Consider the following 24,298-nt stretch of genomic DNA (forward strand, 5'->3'; position numbering starts at 1 on the left):
GGTAGTGGTATAGGGCTCACTTCTTTTATTTCACCCATCACCCAGGGAAAACAATCCTGATTTGCCTTAGTACAATATCTAAAAAGAGATGGTTCATGTATCTTGATCCAGTTTACTAGCTGTTTATGACAAGTGGGTAAAAGCCCCTTATTACTCCATCATGTCCAGAGAGAATTCTCAATTTTTAAAGCAACATTGGCTGGGCACAGTGGCTCATGCCTGTAATCCCAACACTTTGGGAGGCTGAGGTGGGTGGATCACCTGAGATCAGGAGTTTGAGACCAGCCTCGCCAACATGGTGAAACTGTGTCTCTACTAAAAATACAAAAATTAGCCAGCCGTGGTGGCATACACCTGTAATCCCAGCTACTTAGGAGGCTGAGGCAGGAGAATTGCTTGAACCTGGGAGGCGGAGGTTGCAGTGAGCCGAGCTCATGCCATTGCACTCCAGCCCAGGCAACAAGAGCGAAACTCCATCTCAAAAAAAAAAGAAAAGCAACATTAAAGAATTAAAGATGTGTACTTGAGCAGATGATATGAATTTTTAAAAGAGCAAATTGGACAGGCACAGTGGCTTACGCCTGTAATCCCAGCACTCTGGGAGGCCGAGGCAGGTGGATCACGGTGAAACCCCGTCTCTACTGAAAAAAAAAAAATACAAAAAAATTAGCCTGGCATGGCGGCGGGCACCTGTAGTCCCAGCTACTCGGGAGGCTGAGGCAGGAGAATGGCGTGAACCTGGGAGGCAGAGCTTGCAGCGAGCCGAGATCGCGCCACTGCACTCCAACCTGGGCGACAGAGTGAGATTCTGTCTCAAAAAAAAAAAAAAAAAAAAAAAAAAAAAGAATTATACGTAGATCTATTTGTTAAACATGAACTATGAACTCTAAAAAGAAACATCTGCATATCATATCGTATAGTGGATTTTAACATTTCCATAAGGCAAAAGATCCTTAAAACTTTATAGGAGGATATTACTGTCTCCATTATGAAGAAACTCTGAAGTTAATAAATTGCCAGGTCACACAAATATCAAGTGGCAAGGCTAAGATTTCAACCCAGCTAATACTAAAAATCCTGACATTTACTACGTACCATCATGCTTCCCATTAATTTATCCCCACAAATACTATGTATATTAAGAGATTTAGTCTACCAAACTGAATTTATTAAAGTATCCTATGTTGTGCTTAGCAAGATTATTGTTAACTTATCATTCAGAATATCTGATCAGCACGCGAATAAAAAATTACCCAATTTTGGTAAATAAATGTATTATTTATTTAAATTTAAAATTGGCATTTAAAAATATTTAAAATGGCTGGAGCCTTGGACACCTTTTCACTCAAGCCAGGAGTACCCCAAGGAACACATATATTTCCTATTTCATATAGTTCAACATTATATTATGATCTGTTGTTGAGACCACTAGAATGTATGTTCCATTAAAGTTTTAGTCACAAGGTTTAGAGAAGGGGTTAGCATACAGTAGACACTCAATATACAGTGGGGAATAAAAGATCCCCATAATTTTAATTCTCCTAAAACTATAATGGTGGAGGCATATTACATCAAGATGGTGGGCTCACCCTCCTGCCCAAATCTCTTAAAATACAGTAAAAAAGAAAAAAAAGTACTGTTCTTGTGTTTCCAACAAATATGGAGTAATAAGGACAAAGTTTACCTGACTGAAACAACTAAACGACAACAAAAATATATGAAACTAGACACTCAAGACATTATACGAGTAACAAAAGACTATGAATAGTGATACATGAGAGATGCAAAACAGAGATAAACCCTATAACTACCCCAATTTACAAACTGGGTAAAGAGGCAAACAGGGAGGATCAATCAAAAACCTGGCAATCTCCCTTAGAGAGATGAGGTTAAGAGTCAAGAAGGCAAAGGTAGAATTAACAGAGAAAAGTGTCAGAGAAGAGAGCTGCAGAGAGTACTCTGGAAATTTGCAGAGTCCCTCTGAGTCTTTAGCAAAGGACTGAGCAGGGCATGTACCCGGGGAAATTACCCAAGGTCAGGGATAGAACTGCTCCAAAGAAATAAAGGGAATAGCACCCAACACCCACACAGGTCTATGAACAAGGCCTGCCCCCCAACAGCAAGAATGGAAAAGCTCATCTTTTGGCTAACACTGGTTAAAGCAACAGGGGGTCAGCAAATTATATCCTACAGATCAAATGTGGTTCAGCACCTATTTTTGTATAGCCCAAGAACTAAGAATGACTTTTACATTATTAAATGGCTGAAAAAGGTAAAAAAAAGAACATTTCATGACAATTTAAAACTACATAAAATTTAAATTATAGTATCTAAAAATAAAGTTCACAACCATGTTTATTCATTTAAATACCATTTATGGTTGCTTTTACACTACAGTAGAAGAGAGAGATAGCTGACACACAAACTGTAGAGCCCACAAAGCCTAAAATACGTACTATCTGGGTCTTTACAGAAAAATAGGTCTTGCCTTAATATGAAAAAAATAAAAACTAGACTAAACGCATATCCAGTCCCACTTAACAAAGCTTAAAAATCAAGATGCTAAATAATCAATCTCTTTCCAATCAACTTAATCATAATGCAGAACAAATATCAAGAATATCATAGGAATATAAAAATATCCAGCATCTAGCATAGTAAAATTCAGAGTTTAGTATCTACTAAAAACTTACCAGGCATTGCTAATGTACCTTCAGAACAGTAAAAAAAAAAAAAAGTTCGAGTGCTGTGACTCACACCTGTAATCCCAGCACTATGGGAGGCCTAGACAGGCAACTGCTTGAGTCCAGGAGTTTGAGACGAGTCTGGGCAACACAGTGAAACCCCGTCTCTACTAAAAATACAAAAAAATACAAAAAATATTTGTCAGGTATGGAGGTGTACGCCTGTAATAGTAACTACTCGGGAGGCTGAGGTAGGAGAATCACTTGAGTCAGGAAGGTCAAGGCTGCAGTGAGCCAAGATCACACCACTGTAGTCTAACCTGGGCAACCAGAGTGAGACACTATCTCAAAAAAAAAAAAAAAAAAAAAAAAAAAAAAAAAAATTAGGGGTAAAAAAAAAAAAGTAAAATATTACCGGGCATGCAAAGGAAGCAGAAAAATTCAACCCAAAGTGAGAAAAACAAAAACAACAAAAAAAATCAAACCTGACCCAGAAATTACTGGTAATAGAATCAGTAGAAAAAGACATGAAAAGTTCTTATATGACTATGACTATAATCCATATGTTCAAGAACCTAGAGGAAAAACTGAAAACATGTTGAGTGAGATAAGGTTAATATAAAAAAAGACCCAAACAAAAATTCTAGAAAGGGAAATTCTAAAGTCTGATACTGAATGGGATAAAAGGTAGAGAAGACAGGTTAAAAAAAAAAAAAAAAAGACTAGCGAACTTAAAAATGTAACAATGAAAACTAAACAAAATGATACAGAGGAAAAAAAACTGCCTTAGTCTAGTGAAAAAGGTATCCAATATAATGAAAATAACAGTCGTGGCATGCATCTAAAGCAGTATTTGTAGAAAAATTTATATGCTACAAATCCCAGTGGATACAGTTAAACAAAAAGGAAAAAAAATTACAAAGCTAAAAATTCATTAGAAACAAAGAAAAGTCTTAAATCTATGACCAAAGCTTTCACCTTAAAAGACAACAAGGGAGAGACTTTAAGATTGCTAACTAGAGGCCTCCTCTACTAAGAACAACCAAAATAGTGAGTAGATAATGACACTTTGAATAGATCACCCAAGAGATAGATGCCAGGAAAAGAGAGGCATGTGGCCATAGTTCCAGCTACTTGTGAGGGTGAGATGGGAGGATTACTGAGGCCAAGAGTTGGAGACCAGCCTGGGTCAAAAAGCAAGACCTTATCTCAAAAAACTAATTTTTAAAAACATTAAAAAAAACAGAACACTGGAATTCAACAGAAAAATGACAGGAAACATCTACGGCAAGGAAGGAGAAAGAAGGCAACCTGCTCAACCCCCATCAAATGGGAGCCAGGAGAAACTCCCCAATGTGTTAAAAGGAAAAGTGAGAGCTCAGCGGTCCATGTTCCCACCGTGGATTTCTGCAATTCTAGCTAGCCACGGGAGAGGGCCTCAACTCTCACAGGTCCTGAAACTAACAAAGGAAGCTGTCGGGAGATTGTATGAAGATGCAGCTCCAGGGAGGGAGCTTGTCCTGGGTTCCACAGATTCCCTGAGACCTAGGCAGCTATAGCAAGGTGCCATTTTAGAGTCCTGTCCCCAACAGACTGCCCATTGTCCTGGGGCCCAGTGCCACCAGGGCTGAGACTCAAGTGATGCATGGACTACTGCCGCCGGGGCTGAGGCACAAGCAAGGCACAGGCTACCTCTGTCAGGGTTGAAGCATGAGCAAGTGGCAGGCCACTATGGCCACAGCTGAGGCGCGAGCACCCCCAGACTGATCAGGAGCTGAGATGTGAGCAGAGCGTGTGTTCCCCACCCACCAGTCTAAGCTACTACCATAGAAGGCAGCTCCACCCTCCACAGTGGCAGGGCCCCAACACATCCCTGATGGTCCCCAAGTCAATTACTCTGCCCAGGGCCTGGGGAATGCCCCGCACCTGCCCACTACTGATTGTACCTGCACACACCAACAGGGAGCCTGAGGATAAGCCCTTCTGGCCCAGCTTCACCCCCATTCACACCATCCCAGACACACATTCTGGAAACAGGGGACTGCTCAGCCCACCACTGTTGGTATGTGAGCACACCTCCCAGCGGCCTGAGGTTGGGCCTGTCTACCCGCAGCTGCCACCACAGCTGTAACCTACCTGCAGACGCCACCTGCAGGCCTTGGGAGTGGCTGGCCCAGTCTATCACAGCCACCGCCAACACCAGTACACACTGCTCAGGACTAAGAAGGCAGTCCTGCCACTGCCATCAACCATGCCATGCTGACTGCCTAAGAGCCTGTATTAGTCCATTTTCATGTTGATTTACTGTATGAATCCATTTTCACACTGCTGATAAAGACATACCTGAGACTGGACAATTTACAAAAGAAAGGTTTATTGGACTTATAGTTCCACATGGCTAGGGAGGCTTCACAATCATGGTAGAAGGCAAGGAGGAGCAAGTCACATCTTACATGGATGGTGGCAGGCAAAGAGAGCTTGTGCAGGAAAACTACCCCTTAAAATAACTATCAACTCTCATGAGACTTAGTTATTATCATGAGGACAGCATGAGAAAGACCTGCCCTCATGTTTCAATTACCCCCACAGGGTCCCTCCCACAACACATGGTAATTCAAGATGAGATCTGGGTGGGGACACAGCCAAGCCATATCATCCTGCCCCGGCCCCTCCCAAATCTCATGTCCTCACATTTCAAAACCAAACATGCCTTCCCAACAGTCCCCCAAAGTCTTAACTCATTTCAGTATTAAGTCAGGAGTCCACAGTCCAAAGTCTCATCTGAGACAAGGCAAGTCCCTTCTGCCTATGAGTCTGTAAAATCAAAAGCAAGTTAGTTACTTCCTAGATACAATGGGGGTGCAGGAAGTTGATAAATACAGCCATTCCAAATGGGAGACACTGACCAAAACAAAGGGGCTACAGGCCTCTTGAAAGTCCGAAATCCAGTGGGACAGTCAAATCTTAAAGCTCCAAAATGACCTCCAGTGACTCCAGGTCTCATATACAGGTCACGCTGATGCAAAAGATGGGTTCCCATGGTCTTGGGCAGCTCCGCCCCTGTGGCTTTGGAGGGTATAGCCTCCTCCCTCCTGGCTGCTTTCATGGGCTAGTGTTGACTGTCTGCGGCTTTTCCAGGCACATGGTGCAAGCTCTCAGTGGATCTACCATTCTGGGATCTGGAGGATGGTGGCCCTCTTCTCACAGCTCCACTAGGCAGTGCCCCAGGTAGGGGATCTGTGTAGGGGTTTCAGCTCCACATTTCCCTTCTGCACTGCCCTAGCAGAGGTTCTCCACCCACTCCATGAGGACCCTGCCCCTGCAGCAAACTTCTCCCTGGGTATCTAGGTATTTCCATACATCTTCTGAAATCTAGGTGGAGGTTCCCAAACCTCAATTCTTGACTTCTGTGCACCCACAGGCTCAACACCAAATGGAAGTTGCCAAGGCTTGAGGCTTCCACCCTCTGAAGCAACAGCCCAAGCTGTAACTTGGCCCCTTTTAGTCATGGCTGGAGTGGCTGGGATGCAGAGCACCAAGCCCCTAGACTGCACACAGCATGGGGACTCTGGGCCAGTGCTGGGATGGGATGCCGTGAAGACCTCCGACATGCCCTGGAGACATTTTCCCCATTGTCTTGGGGATTAACATTTGGCCCCTCCTTACTTGTGCAAATTTATGCAGCAGACTTCAATTTCTCCTTAGAAAATGGGTTTTTCTTTTCTATTGTCAGGATGCAAATTTTCCAAACTTTTATGTGGTGCTTCCCTTATAAAACTGAATGCCTTTAATAGCACCCAAGTTACATCTCGAATGTTTTGCTGCTTAGAAATTTCTTCCGCCAGATACCCTAAATCATTTCTCTAAAGTTCAAAGTTCCACAAATCTCTAGGGCAGGGGAAAATGTCGCCAGTCTCTTTGCTAAAACATAACAAGAATCATCATTGTTTCAGTTCCCAGCAAGTTCCTCTTCTCCGTCTGAGACCACCTCAGCCTGGATCTTATTGTCCATATCGCTATCAGGCTTTTGGTCAAAGCCATTCATCAAGTCTCTAGGAAGTTCTAAACTTTCCTACATTTTCCTGTTTTCCTTTGAGCCCTCCAAATGTTCCAACCTCTGCCTGTTACCCAGTTCCAAAGTCGTTTCCACATTTTCAGGTATCTTTTCAGCAACACCCCACTCTACTGGTACCAAGTTACTGTATTACTCTGTTGTCATGCTGCTGATAAAGACACACCCAAGACTGGGCAATTTACAAAAGAAAGAGGTTTATTGCATTTGCAGTTCCACATGGCTGGGGAGGCTTCACAATCATGGCAGAAGGCAAGGAGGAGCAACTCACACACTATGTGGATGGTGGCAGGCAGAGAGAGCTTGTGCAGGGAAACTCCCCCTTATAGTAACCATCAGATCTCATGAGACTTACTCATTATCACGAGGACAGCACCAGAAAGACCTGCCCCCATGATTCAATTACCTCCCACCAAGTCCCTCCCACAACACATGGGAATTCAAGATGAGATTTGGGTGGGGACACAGCCAAACCATATCCAAGCCCAAGAACCCACCCCCACTCTCCCAGCCCATGCTGCCCTACTGGCATCTGAGTAGGCCAGCTGGAGGCCCAAGAATCGGCCTGTCTGTACCTGGCTAACACTGGTGCTGGTGTACGTCACCCTGGGACCAAAGACAGGTATGCTCAGCCCATAAATCCCACCACTGGGGACAGAAGACTAGCCCAGCTAGCAACCCAGTCCCCAGGAACACTTCACCACAGCCTCTACTAATAACCAGACCCTAAGCTGTCAAGGACAAAACAGGTACCCCTGACGTTGTTTAGAGCCAAAGAAATCATACAGAGATTACATTATCATATATGCTCAGAATCTCAGCAGAAACTTTACCGGCCAGGAGAGAATGTAATGACATATTCAAAGGTCTGAAAAAAAAAAAAAACTGCCAATCAAGATACTATACCTACCAAAATTACCCTTTGTAAGTGAGAAAAATCTTTCCCTGACAAGCAAAAGTTAAGAAAATTCATCACCATTAAAGGGAATTCATTACCATTAGACCAGACCTACAAGAAATGCTCAAAGGAGTACTAAACCTGGAAGTCAAAGGATGATATTTACCATTGTGAAAACACACAAAAGTATAAAATTCATGGGTAAACATACAAATGAGGAAGAGAAAGGACTCAAAAGGTACCACGACATTAAAACCTGTAAATCACAAAGATAAACAAGAAAAAGAAAAGAAGAAAGAAATACATACAACAAGCAGAAAACAACAATATGACAGGAACAAAACATCACATATCAATAATAACCTTGAATGTAAATGAATCTGTCTCCACTTGAAAGATACAAACTGGCTGAATGGATAAAGAAACATGATCTGGCCAGGTGCAGTGGCTCACGCCTGTAATCCCAGCACTTTAAGAGGCCAAGGTGAGAGGATCACTTTAGGTCAGGAGTTCGAAACCAGCCTTGTCTACATAGCAAGCCCTCATCTCTACAAAAGAAAAAAATTTAAAATTAGCCAGGCGTGGTGGCCTGCACCTGTAGTCTCAGCTACTCAGGAGGCTAAGGCAGAAGATTGCTTAAGTCCAGGAATTTAAGGCTGCAGTAAGCCGTGATCATGCCACTGTACTTCCAGCCTGGGTGACAGGAGAGATCTTCCCTCAAAAAAAAAGAAAAAACAAGAAATATGATCCAACTATATGATGCCTAGAAAAAACACTTCACCAGTAAAGACACATATAGACTAAAAGAGGTGGAAAGATATTCCACACAGATGAAAACCAAAAGTGAGCAGAAGTAGCTAAACATATATCAGATATGGATGTGAGGGTGATCTGGCTGCGACATCTGTCACTCCACTGATCGCCAGGATTGATTCAGTTGATCTGGCTGGCTAGGCAGGTATCCCCTACCTCCCTCACTGGCTCCATGTGCGTCCCTCCAGAAGCTGGGCACTTGGTCGAAGAAGACAACCATCCCCAATAGAGGAGGACCGGTCTTCCATCAAGGGTGTAAGAGTAGCTGCGCTCTCCTGATAGAACCTCCAAACAAGCTCTCAGGGGTAGCTATACATAAAAACAACTTTAAGTCAAAAAAGGTAATAAAAAAAAAGATGATGAAGGTCATTATACAATGATAAAGGGATGAATCCAGCAAAAGGATATAACAATTCTAAACATATATGCACTCAACACTGGAGCACACAAGTTCACAAAGAAAATATTACTAGATCTAAACAGAGAGACAGACTCCAGTATAATAACAGTGAGGGACTTCAACATTCCACTGTTGAAGGGGATAAGACAGATTCTCTAGACAGAAAATCAACAAACATGGATTTAAAAGGGACTTTGCACCAAATGGACCTTACAGATACATACCTACTGAACATTCTAACTAACTGCACAATACCTTCTTCTCATCAGCACGTGGAACATCTTCCAGGAAGTGTTAGTCCACAAAAGAAGTCTCAATTAATTTTAAGAAATCGAAATCATCTAAGTATCTTCTCAGTCCACAATGGAATAAAATGAGAAACAAATACCAAGAGGAACTTTAGAAACCATACAAATACATGGGGCCAGGCTCTGGTGGCTCATGCCTGTAATCCCCGCACTTTGCAAGGACAAGGTGGGAGGATTACTTGAGCCCAGGAGTTCAAGACAAGCCCGGGCAAAATAGTGAAACCCTGTCTATAAATAAAAAATAAATAAATAAAAGATTAAAAAAAAACATACAAACACATGGAAATCAAACATGTTCCTGAACAACCACCGGGTCAATGAAGTAAGATGGAGGTCAAAAACTTCCTTGAAACAAATTATCAATCTCTTCATGATAAAAACTCTCAACAAACTAGGCATAGAAGGAATATACCTCAAAATAACAAAGCCCATAGATAACAAACCCACAGCTAACATCATACTGAATATGTACAAGTTGAAAAACTTTCCTCTAAGAACTGAAACAAGAAAGACAAGGATGAATACTTTCAGCACTCCTAAATCAACATAGTACTGGAAGTCCTAGCTAAAGCAGTAAGGCAAGAGAAAGAAAGGAAAGGTATCCAAATTGGAAAGAAGGAGGTCAAACTTTCCCTCTCTGCAGATGATATGACCCTGTAATTAGAAAAACCTAAAGATTTTACCAAATACCTCTTAGAACATTCAGTAATGCCGCAAGAGACAAAAATCAACATATAAAAATCAGTAGCATTTTTATACACCAATAACGCAAGAGCGAAAAAGGAATCAAGAAGGCAATCCCATTTGCAATAACTACAAAAAAAAATGAAATACCTACAAATACATTTAAACAAGAAGGTAAAAGATCTCTACAAGCAAAACTATAAAACACTGACTGAAAGAAACTGAAGAGGACAAAAACAAATGGAAAGACATCACATGTTCATTGATTAAAAGAATATCAATAAAATGACCATACTGCTCAAAGCAATCTACAGATTCAATGCAATTCCTATGAAAATACTAAGATCAGTTTTCATAGAACTAGAAAACACAATGCTGAAATCACATGAAACAAACAAAAAAACCCTGCAGAACAGCCAAAGCAATCCTGAGCAAAAGGATCCAAACAGAGAGACAGCTGTCAACAAAGCTGGGGGCATCACACTACCCAACTTAAAAATATATTACAAGCTACAGTAACCAAAACATTTCAGTATTGGTATAAAATCAGACACACAGACCAATGAAACAGAATAGAGAACTCAGAAATAAATATATTTACCAGCCAACTGATCTTAGACAAAGCTGTCAAGAACCTACACTGGGGAAAGGACACCCTCTCAAATAAGTGGTGCTGAAATAACTGGAAAAGCATATGCAGAAGAATAAAACTGGACCTCTATTTCTCATCAAACACAAAAATCAAATTAAGATGAATTAACAACTTAAACATTATTTGTAGAAAACATAGGGAAAACTCTTCAGGACACTGACCTAGGCAAATATATTAAAGCTAAGAAGAGCTCTGGTAGAATTCGGCTGTGAATCCATCTGGTCCTGGACTTTTTTTGGTTAGCAGGCTATTAATCACTGCCTCAATTTCAGAACTTGTTATTGGTTTCCTCAGGGATTCGACTTTTCCTGGTTTAGAGGTGTATGTGTCCAGGAATTTATCCATTTCTTCTAGAATTTCTAGTTTATTTGCGTAGAGGCGTTTATAGCATTCTCTGATGGTAGTTTGTATTTCTGTGGGATCAGCAGTGATATCCCCTATATCGTTTCTTCTTGTGTCTATTTGATTCTTCTCTCTTTTCTTTTTTATTAGTATTCCAAAAAATAGGAAAAGAGGGAATCCTCCCTAACGCATTTTATGAGGCCAGCACCACCCTGATAGCAAAACCTGGCAGAGACACAACAAAAAAAGAAAATTTCAGGCCAATATCCCTGATGAACATCAATGTGAAAATCCTCAATACAATATTGGCAAACCAAATCCAGCAGCACATCAAAAAGCTTATCTACCATGATCAAGTCAACTTCATCCCTGGGATGCAAGGCTGGTTCAACATACACAAGTCAATAAACGTAATTCATCACATAAACAGAACCAATGACAAAAATTACATGATTATCTCAATAGATGCAGAAAAGGCCTTTGACAAAATTGAACAGCCTTTCATGCTAAAAAATCTCAATAAACTAGATATCGATGGAAACATATCTCAAAATAATAGCTATTTATGACAAACCCACAGCCAGTATCGTACTGAACAGGCAAAAACTGGAAGCATTCTCTTTGAAAACTGGCAGAAGACAAGGATGCCCTCTCTCACCACTCCTATTCAACATAGTATTGGAAGTTCTGGCTAGGGCAATCAGGCAACAGAAAGAAAGAAAGGGTATTCAGATAGGAAGAGAAGAAGTCAAATTGTCTCTGTTTGCAAATAACATGATTATACATTTAGAAAATCCCATCGTCTCAATCCAAAATCTCCTTAAGCTAATAAGCAACTTCGACAAAGTCTCAGGCTATAAAATCAATGTGCAAAAATCACAAGCATTCCTATACACCAATAACAGACAAACTGAGAGCCAAATCATGAGTGAACTCCCATTCAAAATTGCTACAAAGAGAATAAAATACCTAAGAATCCAAGTTACAAAGGATGTGAAGGACCTCTTCAAGGAGAACTACAAACTACTGCTCAAGGCAATAAGAGAGGACACAAACAAATGGAAAAACATTCTATGCTCATGGATAGGAAGAATCAATACCGTGAAAATGGCCATACTGCCAAAAGTAATTTATAGATTCAATGCTATCCCCATCAAGCTACCGCTGACTTTCTTCACAGAATTGGAAAAAAACTAATTTAAACTTCATATGGAACCAAAAAAGAGCCTGCATAGCCAAGACAATCCTGGGCAAGAAGAACAAAGCTGGAGGCATCAAGCTACCTGACTTCTAACTATACTACAAGGCTAGAGTAACCACAACAGCATTGGTACTGGTACCAAAACAGATATATAGTCCAATGGAGCAAAACAGAGGCCTCAGAAATAACACCACACATCTACAACCATATGATTTTTGACAAACCTGACACAAACAAGTAATGGGGAAAAGATCCCCTATTTAATAAACGGTGTTGGGAAAACTGGCTAGCCATATGCAGAAAACTGAAACTGGACTCCTTCCTTAAACCTTACACAAAAATCAACTCAAGATGGATCAAAGACTTAAATGTGAGACCTAGGACCATAAAAATCCTAGAAGAAAATCTGGCCAATACCATCCAGGACATAGGCATGGGCAAAGACTTCATGTCTAAAACACTAAAAGCAATGGCAACAAAAGCCAAAATTGACAAACGGAATCTAATTAAACTAAAGAGCTTCTTCACAGCAAAAGAAACTATCATCAGAGTGAACAGGCAACCCATAGAATGAGAAAAAATTTTTGCAATCTATCCATCTGACAAACGGCTAATATCCAGAATCTACAACAAACTTAAACAAATTTACAAGAAAAAAACAACCCCATCAAAAAGTGGGCAAGGGATATGAACAGACACTTCTCAAAAGAAGACATTTATGCAGCCACAGACATGAAAAAATTCTCATCATCACTGGTCATTAGGCAAATGCAAATCAAAACCACAATGAGATACCATCTCACGCCAGTTAGAATGGCAATCATTAAAAAGTCAGGAAACAACAGATGCTGGAGAGGATGTGGAGAAAATAGGAATGCTTTTACACTGTTGGTGGGAGTGTAAATTAGTTCAAACATTGTGGAAGACAGTGTGGCGATTCCTTAAGGGTCTAGAACTAGAAATACCATTTGACCCAGCGATCCCATTACTGGGGTACATACCCAAAGGATTATAAATCATTCTACTATAAAGACACATGAACACGTATGTTTACTGCAGCATAAATCACAATACAAACACTTGGAACCAACCCAAATGTCCATCAATGATAGGCTGGATAAAGAAAATGTGGCACACAGGCCGGAAGCAGTGGCTCATGCCTGTAATCCTAGCACTTTGGGAGGCCAAGGTGGGTGGATCAACTGACGTCAGGAGCTCGAGATCAGCCTGGCCAACTTGGTGAAACCCCGTCTCTACTAAAAATACAAAATTTAGCCAGGCACACACACGCCTATAATCCCAGCTCCTTGGAAGGCTGAGGAAGGAGAATTGCTTGAACCTGGGAGGTGGAGGTTGCAGTGAGCCGAGATCATGCCACTGCACTCTAGTCTGCATGACAGGAACGAGACTCCATCTTAAAAAAAAAAAAAAAAAAAAAAAAAAAAAAAAAAAAAAAAAGGCACATATACACCATGGAATACTATATAGCCATAAAAAAGGATGAGTTCATGTCTTTTGCAGGGACATGGATGAAGCTGGAAACTATCACTCTCAGCAAACTATCACAAGAACAGAAAACCAAACACCACACATTCTCACTCAGAAGTGGGAGTTGAACAATGAACACATGGACACAGGGAGGCAAACATCACACAACAGGGCTTGTCGGGAGGTGGGGGGATAGGGGAGGGATAACATTAGGAGACATACCTAATGTAGGTGACGGGTTGATGGCACGTGTATACCTATGTAATGAAACTGCACGTTCTGCATATGTACCCCAAAACTTAAAGTATAATTAAAAAAAAAAAAGAAAAAAAAGAGCCCAAAAGCCTTGAACAAAAACAAAAATAAACAAATGGGACTATATTAAATTAAAAAGCTACACGCAGAAAAATAAGCAGTCAACAGTGTGAAGACACAACCTCTTGAATGGGGGAAAATATTTACAAACTGCTCATATGACAGAGGAATGATATCTAGAATATACAAGAAACTCAAACTAAATAGTAAAAAAATAATAATAATAAAGACTAAAAATAAATTCCATTAGAAAATGGGTAGGCAGGGTGCAGTGGCTCACGCTTGTAATCCAAGCACTTTGGGAATATGAGGCGGGAGGATCACTGGAGCCCAGGAATCTGAGACCAGCTTGCAACATGGCAAAACTCCATCTCTATAAAAAATACAAAAATTAGCCAGGTGTGGTGGCATGTGCCTATAGCCCCAGCTACTCAGGAAGTGAAAGGATCGCTTGAGATCAGGAGAGGTCGAGGCTGCAGTGAGCCATAATCTTGTCTATGCACTTCAGCCTGGGTGACAGAGTGAGACCCTGTCTCCAAAAAAAAAAAAAAAAAGCAAAGGATATGAATAGACAATATTGTGTAACCATCACCACTACATAATTACAAAATATTTCCATTAACCCAGAAGGAAATCTTGTCCTTTCAAATTTCACCACCCCAATCTCGGGCAGCCATTAATTTATTTCCTGTCTCTATGAATTTGCCTATTCTGAATTTGTCATGTAAATGGAATCACACTCAAAGAAAAGAAAAGCTGGTTGTTTGAAAAGATTAATAAAATTGATAAACCTTTAACTAGACTGATGAAGAAAAATAGAAGACTCAAGTTTCCCAAGTCAGAAATGCAAGCAGGGATAGTACTAACAACCTTACATAAATAAAAAGATTATAAAAGAATACTATGAAAATTGCATGCCAACAAATTAGATAACCTGGATGAAATTATCAACTTCACTGAAACAAACTACCAAAATGTACTCAAGAGGAAACAGAAAATGTGAATATCCCTGTACAGAGTAAAGAGACTGAGTCACAAATCAGCTTTCCCACAAAGCACTGCAGCTACGTGGGAGGCTAATGTGTGAGGATCACTTTAGATCAGGAATTTAAGGCCAAAGTGCCCTACGATTGCTCCCGTGAATAGCCACTGCACTCCATCCAACCTGGGTGACGTGGCAAGACCCTATTCTCTAAAAATAAATAAATAAATAAAAATAAAGTTTAGGAAAAATTTGGCTGTGGTAGGGCGTAGTGGCTCATACCTGTAATCCCAGCACTTTGGGAGGCCGATGTGGGTGGATCACTTGAGGTCAGGAGTTGGAGACCAGCCTGACCAACATGGTGAAACCCCGCCTCTACTAAAAATACAAAACTTAGCCAGGTGTATTGGCACACACCTGTAATCCCAGCTTTGCGGGAGGCTGAGGCAGGAGAATCATTTGAACCCGGGAGGCAGAGGTTGCAGTGAGCTGAGATCACACCACTGCACTGCAGCCTGGGCAACAAAACAAGAACCTGTCTCAAAAAAAAAGAAAAGAAAAAAGTATTTTCCACAAAGAAAGCCCAGTACCAGATGGCTTCACTAATTCTACCAAACATTTATAAAAGAATTAACACCAGCTGGGTGTGGCAGCACATGCCTGTCATCTCAGCACTTTGGAAGGGAGAGGATCACTTGAGGTCAAGAGTATGAGACCAGCCTGGGCAACACAGCAAGACACTATCTCTACAAAACACTCAAAATTAGCTAGGCTTGGTGGCAAACACCTGTACTCCCAGCTACACAACAGGCTGAGATGGGAAGACAGCTTGAGCCCAAGACTTCAAGGCTGAAGGGAGGTATGATTGCACCACTGCACTCCAGCTTGGGCTACAGTGAGACTCTGTCTCTTCAATTAGCTGAGTGTGATGGTGCACCCTAAGTTCTCAGGAAGCTGAGGCAAGAGGACTGCTTAAGCCCACTAGGTCAAGGTGGCAGTGAGCCATAATCGCACTATCGCACTCCAACCTGGGTAACAGAGCCAGGCCTTCTCTCTCTCTCTCAAAAAAAAAAAGAATTAATTCCAATCCTTCTCAAACTCCTCCAAAACACAGAAGAGGATAGAACACTTCCCACACTTCCCAATTCATTTTATAAGGCCAGGATTACCTTGTATATATAAGAATACATGGTTGGGGCTGGGCTCAGTGGCTTCCACCTGTAATCCCAGCACTTTGGGACACCAAGGTGGCTGGATCACCTGAGGTCAGGAGTTTTGAGACCAGCCTGGTCAACATGGTGAAACCCCAACTCTACTAAAGATACAAAAGTAGCCGGGTGTGGTGGCACATGCCTGTAGTCCCAGCTACTCGGGAGTTTGAGACAGGAGAATCACTTGAACCCAGGAGGCGGAGGCTGCAATAAGCTGAGAGCTTGCCACTGCACTCCAGCCTGGGCAAAACAGAGCAAGACTCCGTCTCAAAAAAAGAAGAAATACATATTCGATCTTTGCTCCACAGTTCCTGACACAGAGCTCCTAAAATCCTTGTAAATTCCTGAGTGATAGGGCACTAGCAGCATCTTTTGTTCTAATATGTGCTCTTTGGACCTGGTTCCTGACACAGAGCTCCTAAATTCCTTGCAATTTCCTGAGCAATGGGGTAACATGCGTGTCTACACAGAGCTCTTAAATCCCGTGGAATTTCCTGGGTGATAGAAGCCTCTTTTGTTCTAATGAGGCAACTCTTGGTGGGCTCCTGGAATCTTCAGAATGAGAACTGGTCACCAGGAAGACCAAGCCATGATTACATGCCTAGAGCCTGGAACTTTCAGCCCCATCCACTTCCTCCAGAGAGCGAAGAGAGTCTGGAGACTGGGTTAACAATCAATCATGCCTACATGATGAAACCTCCATTAAAAAAAAATCCCTAAACTGGCTGGGCATGGTAGCTCATGACTGTAATCCCAGTACTTTGGGAGGCTGAGGCAGGAGGACCGCTTGAGCCTAGGAATGCAAGAACAGCCTGGGCAACAGAGAGAGACCCCATTTCTATAAAATAATAATAATAATAATCCCTAAACTAGGATTTAGACAGCTTCTGAGTTGGTGAATGCATTCATGTGCTGGGGGACAGAAGCGCCTGCACTTGGGACTCTTCCAGATCTTGTTTACCCAGCGTACCTCTTCATCTGGCTGCTCGTTTATAACCTCCATAATAAAGCTGAAACAGAAGTAAAGTGTTTCCCTGAGTTTTGTGAGCCAATACAGTAGGTTATTGAACCTAAGAAGGAAGTTGTGAGAACCCCCAATTTGTAGTCAAGTCAGACAGAAGTGTGGGGACCCTTGGAACCCAATACTTGCAACTGATGTCTAAAGTGGGAAGGCAGTCTTGTGGGTCTGAGTCTTTAATTTGTGGGACTGTGGTAACTCTAGGTAGTAAGTGTCAGAATCAAATTAAATTTTAATACACCCACTTGGTGTGTGCAGAGAAATGGAAAATTGCTTGGTGTGGAAAAACCACAAATTTGGTGTCAGAGTATTCTGTGGATAGAAGGAACAAATTTTCATTTACTTTAATACTGAAACCATTTAATTAATTAATTTTTTTTTTGAGACAGAGTTTTACTCTTATTGCTCAGGCTGGAATGCAATGGCGCGATCTCAGCCTACTGCAATCTCCGCCTCCTGGGTTCAAGCGATTCTCCTGCCTCAGCCTCCCAAGTAGCTGGGATTACAGGCACGCACCAGCACGCCTGGCTAATTTTGTATTTTTAGTAGAGACAGGGTTTCACCATGTTGGCATGTTGGCCAGGCTGGTCTCGAACTCCTGACCTCAGGTGATCCATCCGCCTTGGCCTCCCAAAGTGCTAGGATTACAGGAGTGAGCCACCAAAACCATTTAAAAGATATCACAAGAAAAAAACTTTCAACAATGTACTAGCAAACTATGATATATAGCGCCTCTCCAGTGCCTCTCACTCCAGCCTGGGTGACAGAGTGAGGCCTCATCTCTAAAAAACAAACAAACAAAAACCTAGCAAACTGAATTCAGCAACATATGAAAGACATTATATACTATGAACAAATGGGACGGGATAGGGGCTAGCCATGCCAGAAGGACCTATTGTGAGATTAGAGGGTAGGGGCTTTATGCCACGTAGTTTCAGCCCAACCTCCAGGGACAGGATAGGAACTAGAGAGTGAGTTGTTTGTTTTGAAAGAGGGTCTCACTTTGTTCCCCAGGCTGGAGTGCAGTGGCACAACCATGGCTCACTGGAGCCTCCACCTCCTGGGCTCAAGTGATCCTCCCGCCTCAGTCCCCCAAGTAACCAGGACTACAGTTGCATGTCACCAAACCCAGCTAATTTTTTTATTTTTTGTAGAGACAGGTTTCAACATGTTGCCCAGGCTAGTCTTGAATTCCTGAGCTCAAGCGATTCACCCACCTCGGCCTCCCAAAGTGCTGGGATTACAGGCATGAGCCACTGTGCCTAGTCAAGAGTGAGTTCTATCACAAAACAAATACCCTAATAAAAACTGTTATGTTGGCTGGGCATAGTGGCTCATGCCTGTAATCCCAGCACTTTGGGAGGCCAAGGCGGGTGGATCACTTGAGGTCAGGAGTTCCAGACCAGCCTGGCCAACATGGTGAAACCCTGTCTCTACTAAAAATACAAAAATTAGCCGGGCATGGTGGTGCGCACCTGTAATCCCAGGTACACAGGAGGCTGAGGCAGGAGAATTGCTTAAACCTGAAGGCGGAGGTTGCAGTGAGCCAAGAGCACGCTACTGCACTCCAGTGTGTGCAACAGGGTGAGACTTCATCTCAAAAAAAAGCTGTTATGCATGGCCAAGTGTGGTGGCTCACACCTATAATCCTAGCGCTTTGGGAGGCCAAGGCAGGAGGATCATTTGAAGCCAGAAATTCAAGATCAGCCTGAGCAACATAGTGAGACCCCATCTCTAGAAAAATATAACTAAATTAACTGGGCATGGTAACATGTGCCTGTAGTCCCCCCTACTTGGCAGGAGGATCGCTTGAGCCCAGGAGCTCAGGGCTGCAGTGGGCCATGTTGCACCACTGTACTGCAGCCTGGGCAACAGAGCAACACCCTGCCTGAAAAGAGAAACAAAAAACTGTCATACTGAGCAGTTTCCTGACTGGTGAACACAATGATGTGCTGGGAAGGTGACATGCCCTGATTCTACAGGGAGAGTGCACAGAAGCTCTGCATCCAGGACCCTTCCAGACCTTGCCCTATGGGTCTTTTCATCTGGCTGGTCTTATGTTGTATCCTTTATAATAAAGCCATAACTGTAAATAAAGCACTTTCTTGAGTTCTGTGAGTCATTCCGGTGAATTACAGAACCTGAGGTGGGTTATGGGAAATCCTCAGATTTGTAGCCTGTCGGGTAGAAGGGCAGGTAGCATGGGGACCCCACCTATAGCTGGCATGTGAAATGGGGACAGTCTTGTTGGTGACATTCTACCTTGTAAAATGATGGAACCATCCTTCACTAAATAAATGGCATGAGACCAGCCTTTACTTATAGCTCAAATAATATTACAGGTCTATATAAGCACATGGTGTCTAATAGTTGGAGAGCCAGCCACGGTGGCTCACGCCTGTAATCCCAGAACTTTGGGAGGCCAAAGTGGGTGGATCACTTGAGCCCAGAAGTTTAAGACCAGCCTGGGAAACACAGTGAGACTCCATCTCTAGAAAAAAAAAATTAGCTGAGTATGGTGACACGTTCCTGTGGTCCCAGCTACTCAAGAGGCTGAGGTGGAAGGATAGCTTGAGCTCAGGTCAAGGCTGCAGTAAGCCGTGATTCCACCACTATACTCCAGCCGGGGTAACAGAGCAAGACCTTGTCTCAAAAAAGGCTGGATAAAGAGTTGTTCCTCAGATGGAATTCAAGTCAAATTATATTTCTTCTAGACAATTTTTCAAGATCAATCAGGAATCTCTTTACCAACTTTCAACCCCCACAAACACACATATCACTTATGTGTACTTCTCATCTACAATGAACTAAATCCACACTATATATTAAACATGTGTTTATTTATCTAGAGTGGTATTTCAAGTTATTGGAAGTTCCCGTTTGTTTCTTTGTGGGGAGAAAGGAACAAAAAGGATGTCCAATAAGTATCAAATCTCTGTACCTAGCAGAAAAAAGCAATCTCTAAAATTACAACAACCTTTTTTTTGCAAATAAAAATGACAGAATGTCTTGGCAGGGCACAGGCTCGTGCCTGTACTCCCCATGCTTTGGAGGCTGAGGTGGGTGGATCACCTGAGGTCAGGAGTTCGAGACCAGCCCGGCCTACATGGTGAAACCCTGTCTCTACTAAAATACAAAACTTAGCCAGGCGTGGTGGCATGCTGAGGCAGGAGAATTGCTTGAACCCAGGAGGCAGAGGTTGCAATGAGCCAAGATCACACCACTACACTCCAGCCTGGGGGAGAAAGCGAGACTCCATCTCAAAAAAAGAAAAAAGAAAAAAAAAGAAAAGACAGATTATCTCACTAAAGAAAACTTTACCTATAAGACAAAACAATTGGGTACAAATGCCAAGATAGTTAATTAAAGTTAATTTTAATTACCTTAAGTACATAAATAAGGCACTCTAAAAAAATTCTTCTTAAAAGCATAAATGTTAAATGCATACTTAACGTTTATATAGCATATATATACATGTATGTAACAACTTAATTCACAAAAACAAGAATTGCAAAATATGATATATTGCTATAATCTGTTTATTCAAGTAAGCTTTTAGAAAGCTATGAAATTAACATGGTAGTGCTTCAAATAGTACTTATATGTAAGTTACCAGACTTCTGATTGTTTAAAACTAGAAAGTCACATATTTTCCCTATAAACAAACGCTGGGTCTTTTCAGCTGTTTCCCTCCTCAGTAAATGGAACTACTAACTACCCACTCTCCAAGCCAGAAGTCTGGAAATTAATACTATTCCTACTCAAAACACTTTGCATCAATCCATTAACTAAGTCCTTATCTATTCTACCTGCAACTTCTCTTTCTCAGATCTAGCCTTTTCTCTCACTCCCTATGGCCACTTCCCCAACTTTCTCACAATAGGAATGTAATATTATAACAACCTCCAACTGGTTTCCCTATCACCACCCCAAAGTGCCCACTGCCTTTCCAACACCCCAAAAGAATTGTTTCAGAAATGAGAATTTCAGGTCACCCCTGGTGAAGATCATATAAATCCATTCAGAGAAACTGGGGTGGGGCTCTTAGAAAAAAAAAAAGGTAAATAACAGAAACGGAATAATGACTTTTCCCTCATGGTGTCTTGGGAAAGATAAATAAAAAATTGAATTTTTAACTATACTCAGAGGATTCAAATAAAAAGTAATAAGCTTAGAAGAGGTTAATAACATATGCTTTTCATGCAGTTAAGACATGGTATAACCAAATAACCCAAAAAATGAGTTGAGTGATTATCCAAAGATTTTCCATCTCAGGCATCTCAGGCACTATTATAAAACCCAGCCTGGGCTACATAGCAACACCCATCTCTATAAAAAAAGATTTTTTTTTTTTTAACTAGCCAGGTGTAGGGGCACAAGTAGTGCTAGCTACTTGGGAGGCTGAGGCAGGAAGATCACTTGAGTCCAGGAGTTCTGTGTTGCAGTGAGCTATGACTGCACCACTGCACTGCAGTCTGGGCAATAGAGCAAGACCCTCTCTCTAAATAAAGAGAAAGAAAGAAAGGAAGAAATGAAAGACCAAAGATGGGGAGGACCCAGAAGGAAACACCTGAGTCATTAAAAAAACAAAAATTAAATGAGTGAAAAAACAAGGGAGGAGGGGGTGAGAATTCAGTAATGTATATCTTTACAAGCTATATCCAAAAGAAAAAAGTTATACCCTGAAAAATGTCTAGCAAACAAGGGATGAAGAGAAAATCTAAAAATATTTTGAAATACATGACACATTCATTCAGCTAACATTTGAGTATCTACTATATGCTAAATACTAGGCTAGAAATAGAGTGAATAAGAGAAAATTAATTCCTTATAGAATTTATTGTCAGTCACTGGCATGTTACCTTTATTTAATGTGCTACATTTTTACTTTAAAGAAGGGAAAAATACATGCAAATCATTTATAACTCCCAATCTAATTTTCTCATATGGTCTTAAGTTCCTCAACCACAAACCTTATCAGAAACCTAATGTATACAGTTAGGTTACAATTTCCCATACATGCCACATTATCAGAAACTTCTGTCTTTTCCCATGCCGTTCCCTGCCTCGAATGCTTTTCCAACTTTTACTCAACCATTCAAATTTCCATAATGCCTACAGTTATGTTATGATTTCCCCTGGCCAAAATTAGGTACTTGCTCATTTATATTCCCAAAGCACCCTAGAATTACTCTAAACAGTAGTTATACTTTGTATTATAACTGCCTGCATAACTATATTCATGCAAACAAGATCAAGCAAACATGATACAAATATCTGCTGTCTACAAGAAACAAAATTTAGAATCAAAGACACAAGGAGGTTAAAAGGATGGAAAGGAACACACCATGCAAAGTAAACAAAAGACCATGCAAAGTAAACGAAAGACAGATGAAGTGGCTATGCTAATACCAGACAAAACAGACTTTAATCTGAGCATAAATATAGAGTTTAAAACAAAATTTGAAGTATTAGGAAAAATAGGTAAGAACAGACATTCCTGATTACACATTAAAATCACTGATGCCAGGGCCTCAATCCCCAGAGATTCTGATTTCAATGGAGCATTGTTAAGGCCTAGGCATGAGTATTTTTCAGAGGGATTCAAGGGCTTCTAATGCACAGCCCGTAGTTAATGACACACGATTATCATAAGGGCTGAAAAACACTGAACTACAAGGAAAAGACAGTTGCTTTAATTAGGGTAAATGGAAGTCATGGCAGTACAGGAACACACCCTGGAGGCATTTGATAACACAATGCACAAAACTTGTATAGGTACAGGAGACGAAGTCTAATTTCCAAAATATTCAAGAAGAAAATTATTTCGTCGAGCCAATCCCATTAAAAAAATTTTTTAAATAAAAAAATTAGGCTGGGTGCGGTGGCTCACACCTGTAATCCCAGCACTTTGGGAGGCCAAGGCAGGCGAATCACTTGAGGTCAGGAGTTCAAGACCAGCCTGGACAACATGGTGAAACCCTGTCTCTATTAAAAATACAAAAATTAGCTGGGCATGATGGTGCGTGCCTGTACTCCCAGCTATTCAGGAGGCTGAGGCAGGAGAATCACTTGAACCCAAGGTGGAGGTTGCAGTGAGCCGAGATCATGCCACTGCACTGCAGCCTGGGCAACAGAGAAAGACTCTGTCTAAAAAAACAAACAAACAAACAAAAACACAACAACAGCAAGAAAATTATTTCAAAGTGTGAGGAAGACTAGGATTTTCCCAAGCAATGATGAAAAGCTGGTTAAGATTCATGTTCAAATATCAAGGCATTCAACTGTACGTATGACTTGTAGTTCTTTGGTTTCAATATATTTTAGTATCCCATTCAAATATTATACCTTTTTTTTTTTTTTTTTTTTTTTTGAGACGGAGTCTCGCTCTGTCGCCCAGGCTGGAGTGCAGTGGCGGGATCTCGGCTCACTGCAAGCTCCGCCTCCCGGGTTCACGCCATTCTCCTGCCTCAGCCTCCCGAGTAGCTGGGACTACAGGCGCCCGCCACTACGCCCGGCTAATTTTTTGTATTTTTAGTAGAGACGGGGTTTCACCGTGTTAACCGGGATGGTCTCGATCTCCTGACCTCGTGATCCGCCCACCTCGGCCTCCCAAAGTGCTGGGATTACAGGCGTGAGCCACCGCGCCCGGCCTCAAATATTATACCTTTTAAAAATAATGTTCATGCTAATAAAATTAAAACTTTTAAAGTAAAAAGAGGTGAGTGGGGAAATATGCTACGTTATCTGACTCAGAAGCCTAAGTGTTCAGATCATTGCTTAGAGTTCAGACCACAACCATAGTACTGTGGATCACACTACAATCATTTTAAGAGCATACCTGTGGGGACAAAACACTGGTTAAGAGTTGGGCTCTGAAGCCAGACTTACCCAGTTTTAAATTCCCACAGCATTACAAGTATCTTTTTATCAAAATTTTCTCCAACCCTTTAACACTGTGTGACTTCAGGCAAGTTACTTTACCTTTCTAAATAGTTTCCTTATCTATAAAATGAAAATAATGACACTATAAATAGAGTGGCTCTAAGGATTAAATAAGATAATCTTGGTAGATGACTTTATCATGGAGTCTGGCTCAACAGTAAGCTCTGATAATTACAACAGTACTACTACAGGCATTTAACCTATAAAATTATGGTAAAGCATGCATACTACAAAGCCCCTTATTTTTGCATTTTTGTAATCTATTTTTCTACGAAAGATAAGAAT

At 41.4% G+C, this 24,298-nt stretch overlaps 1 protein-coding gene across 3 annotated transcripts in view; it reads right to left on the minus strand.

Moving 5' to 3' along the window:
- The window catches only part of RSF1 (remodeling and spacing factor 1), a 212,224-nt gene that overhangs the window by 125,102 nt on the left and 62,824 nt on the right, over nucleotides 1-24,298 (minus strand). The gene's annotated exons all lie outside the window — the stretch shown is intronic.

The sequence above is a fragment of the Homo sapiens genome, chromosome 11, assembly GCF_000001405.40.
Source record: "Homo sapiens chromosome 11, GRCh38.p14 Primary Assembly".
NCBI lineage: Eukaryota > Metazoa > Chordata > Mammalia > Primates > Hominidae > Homo > Homo sapiens.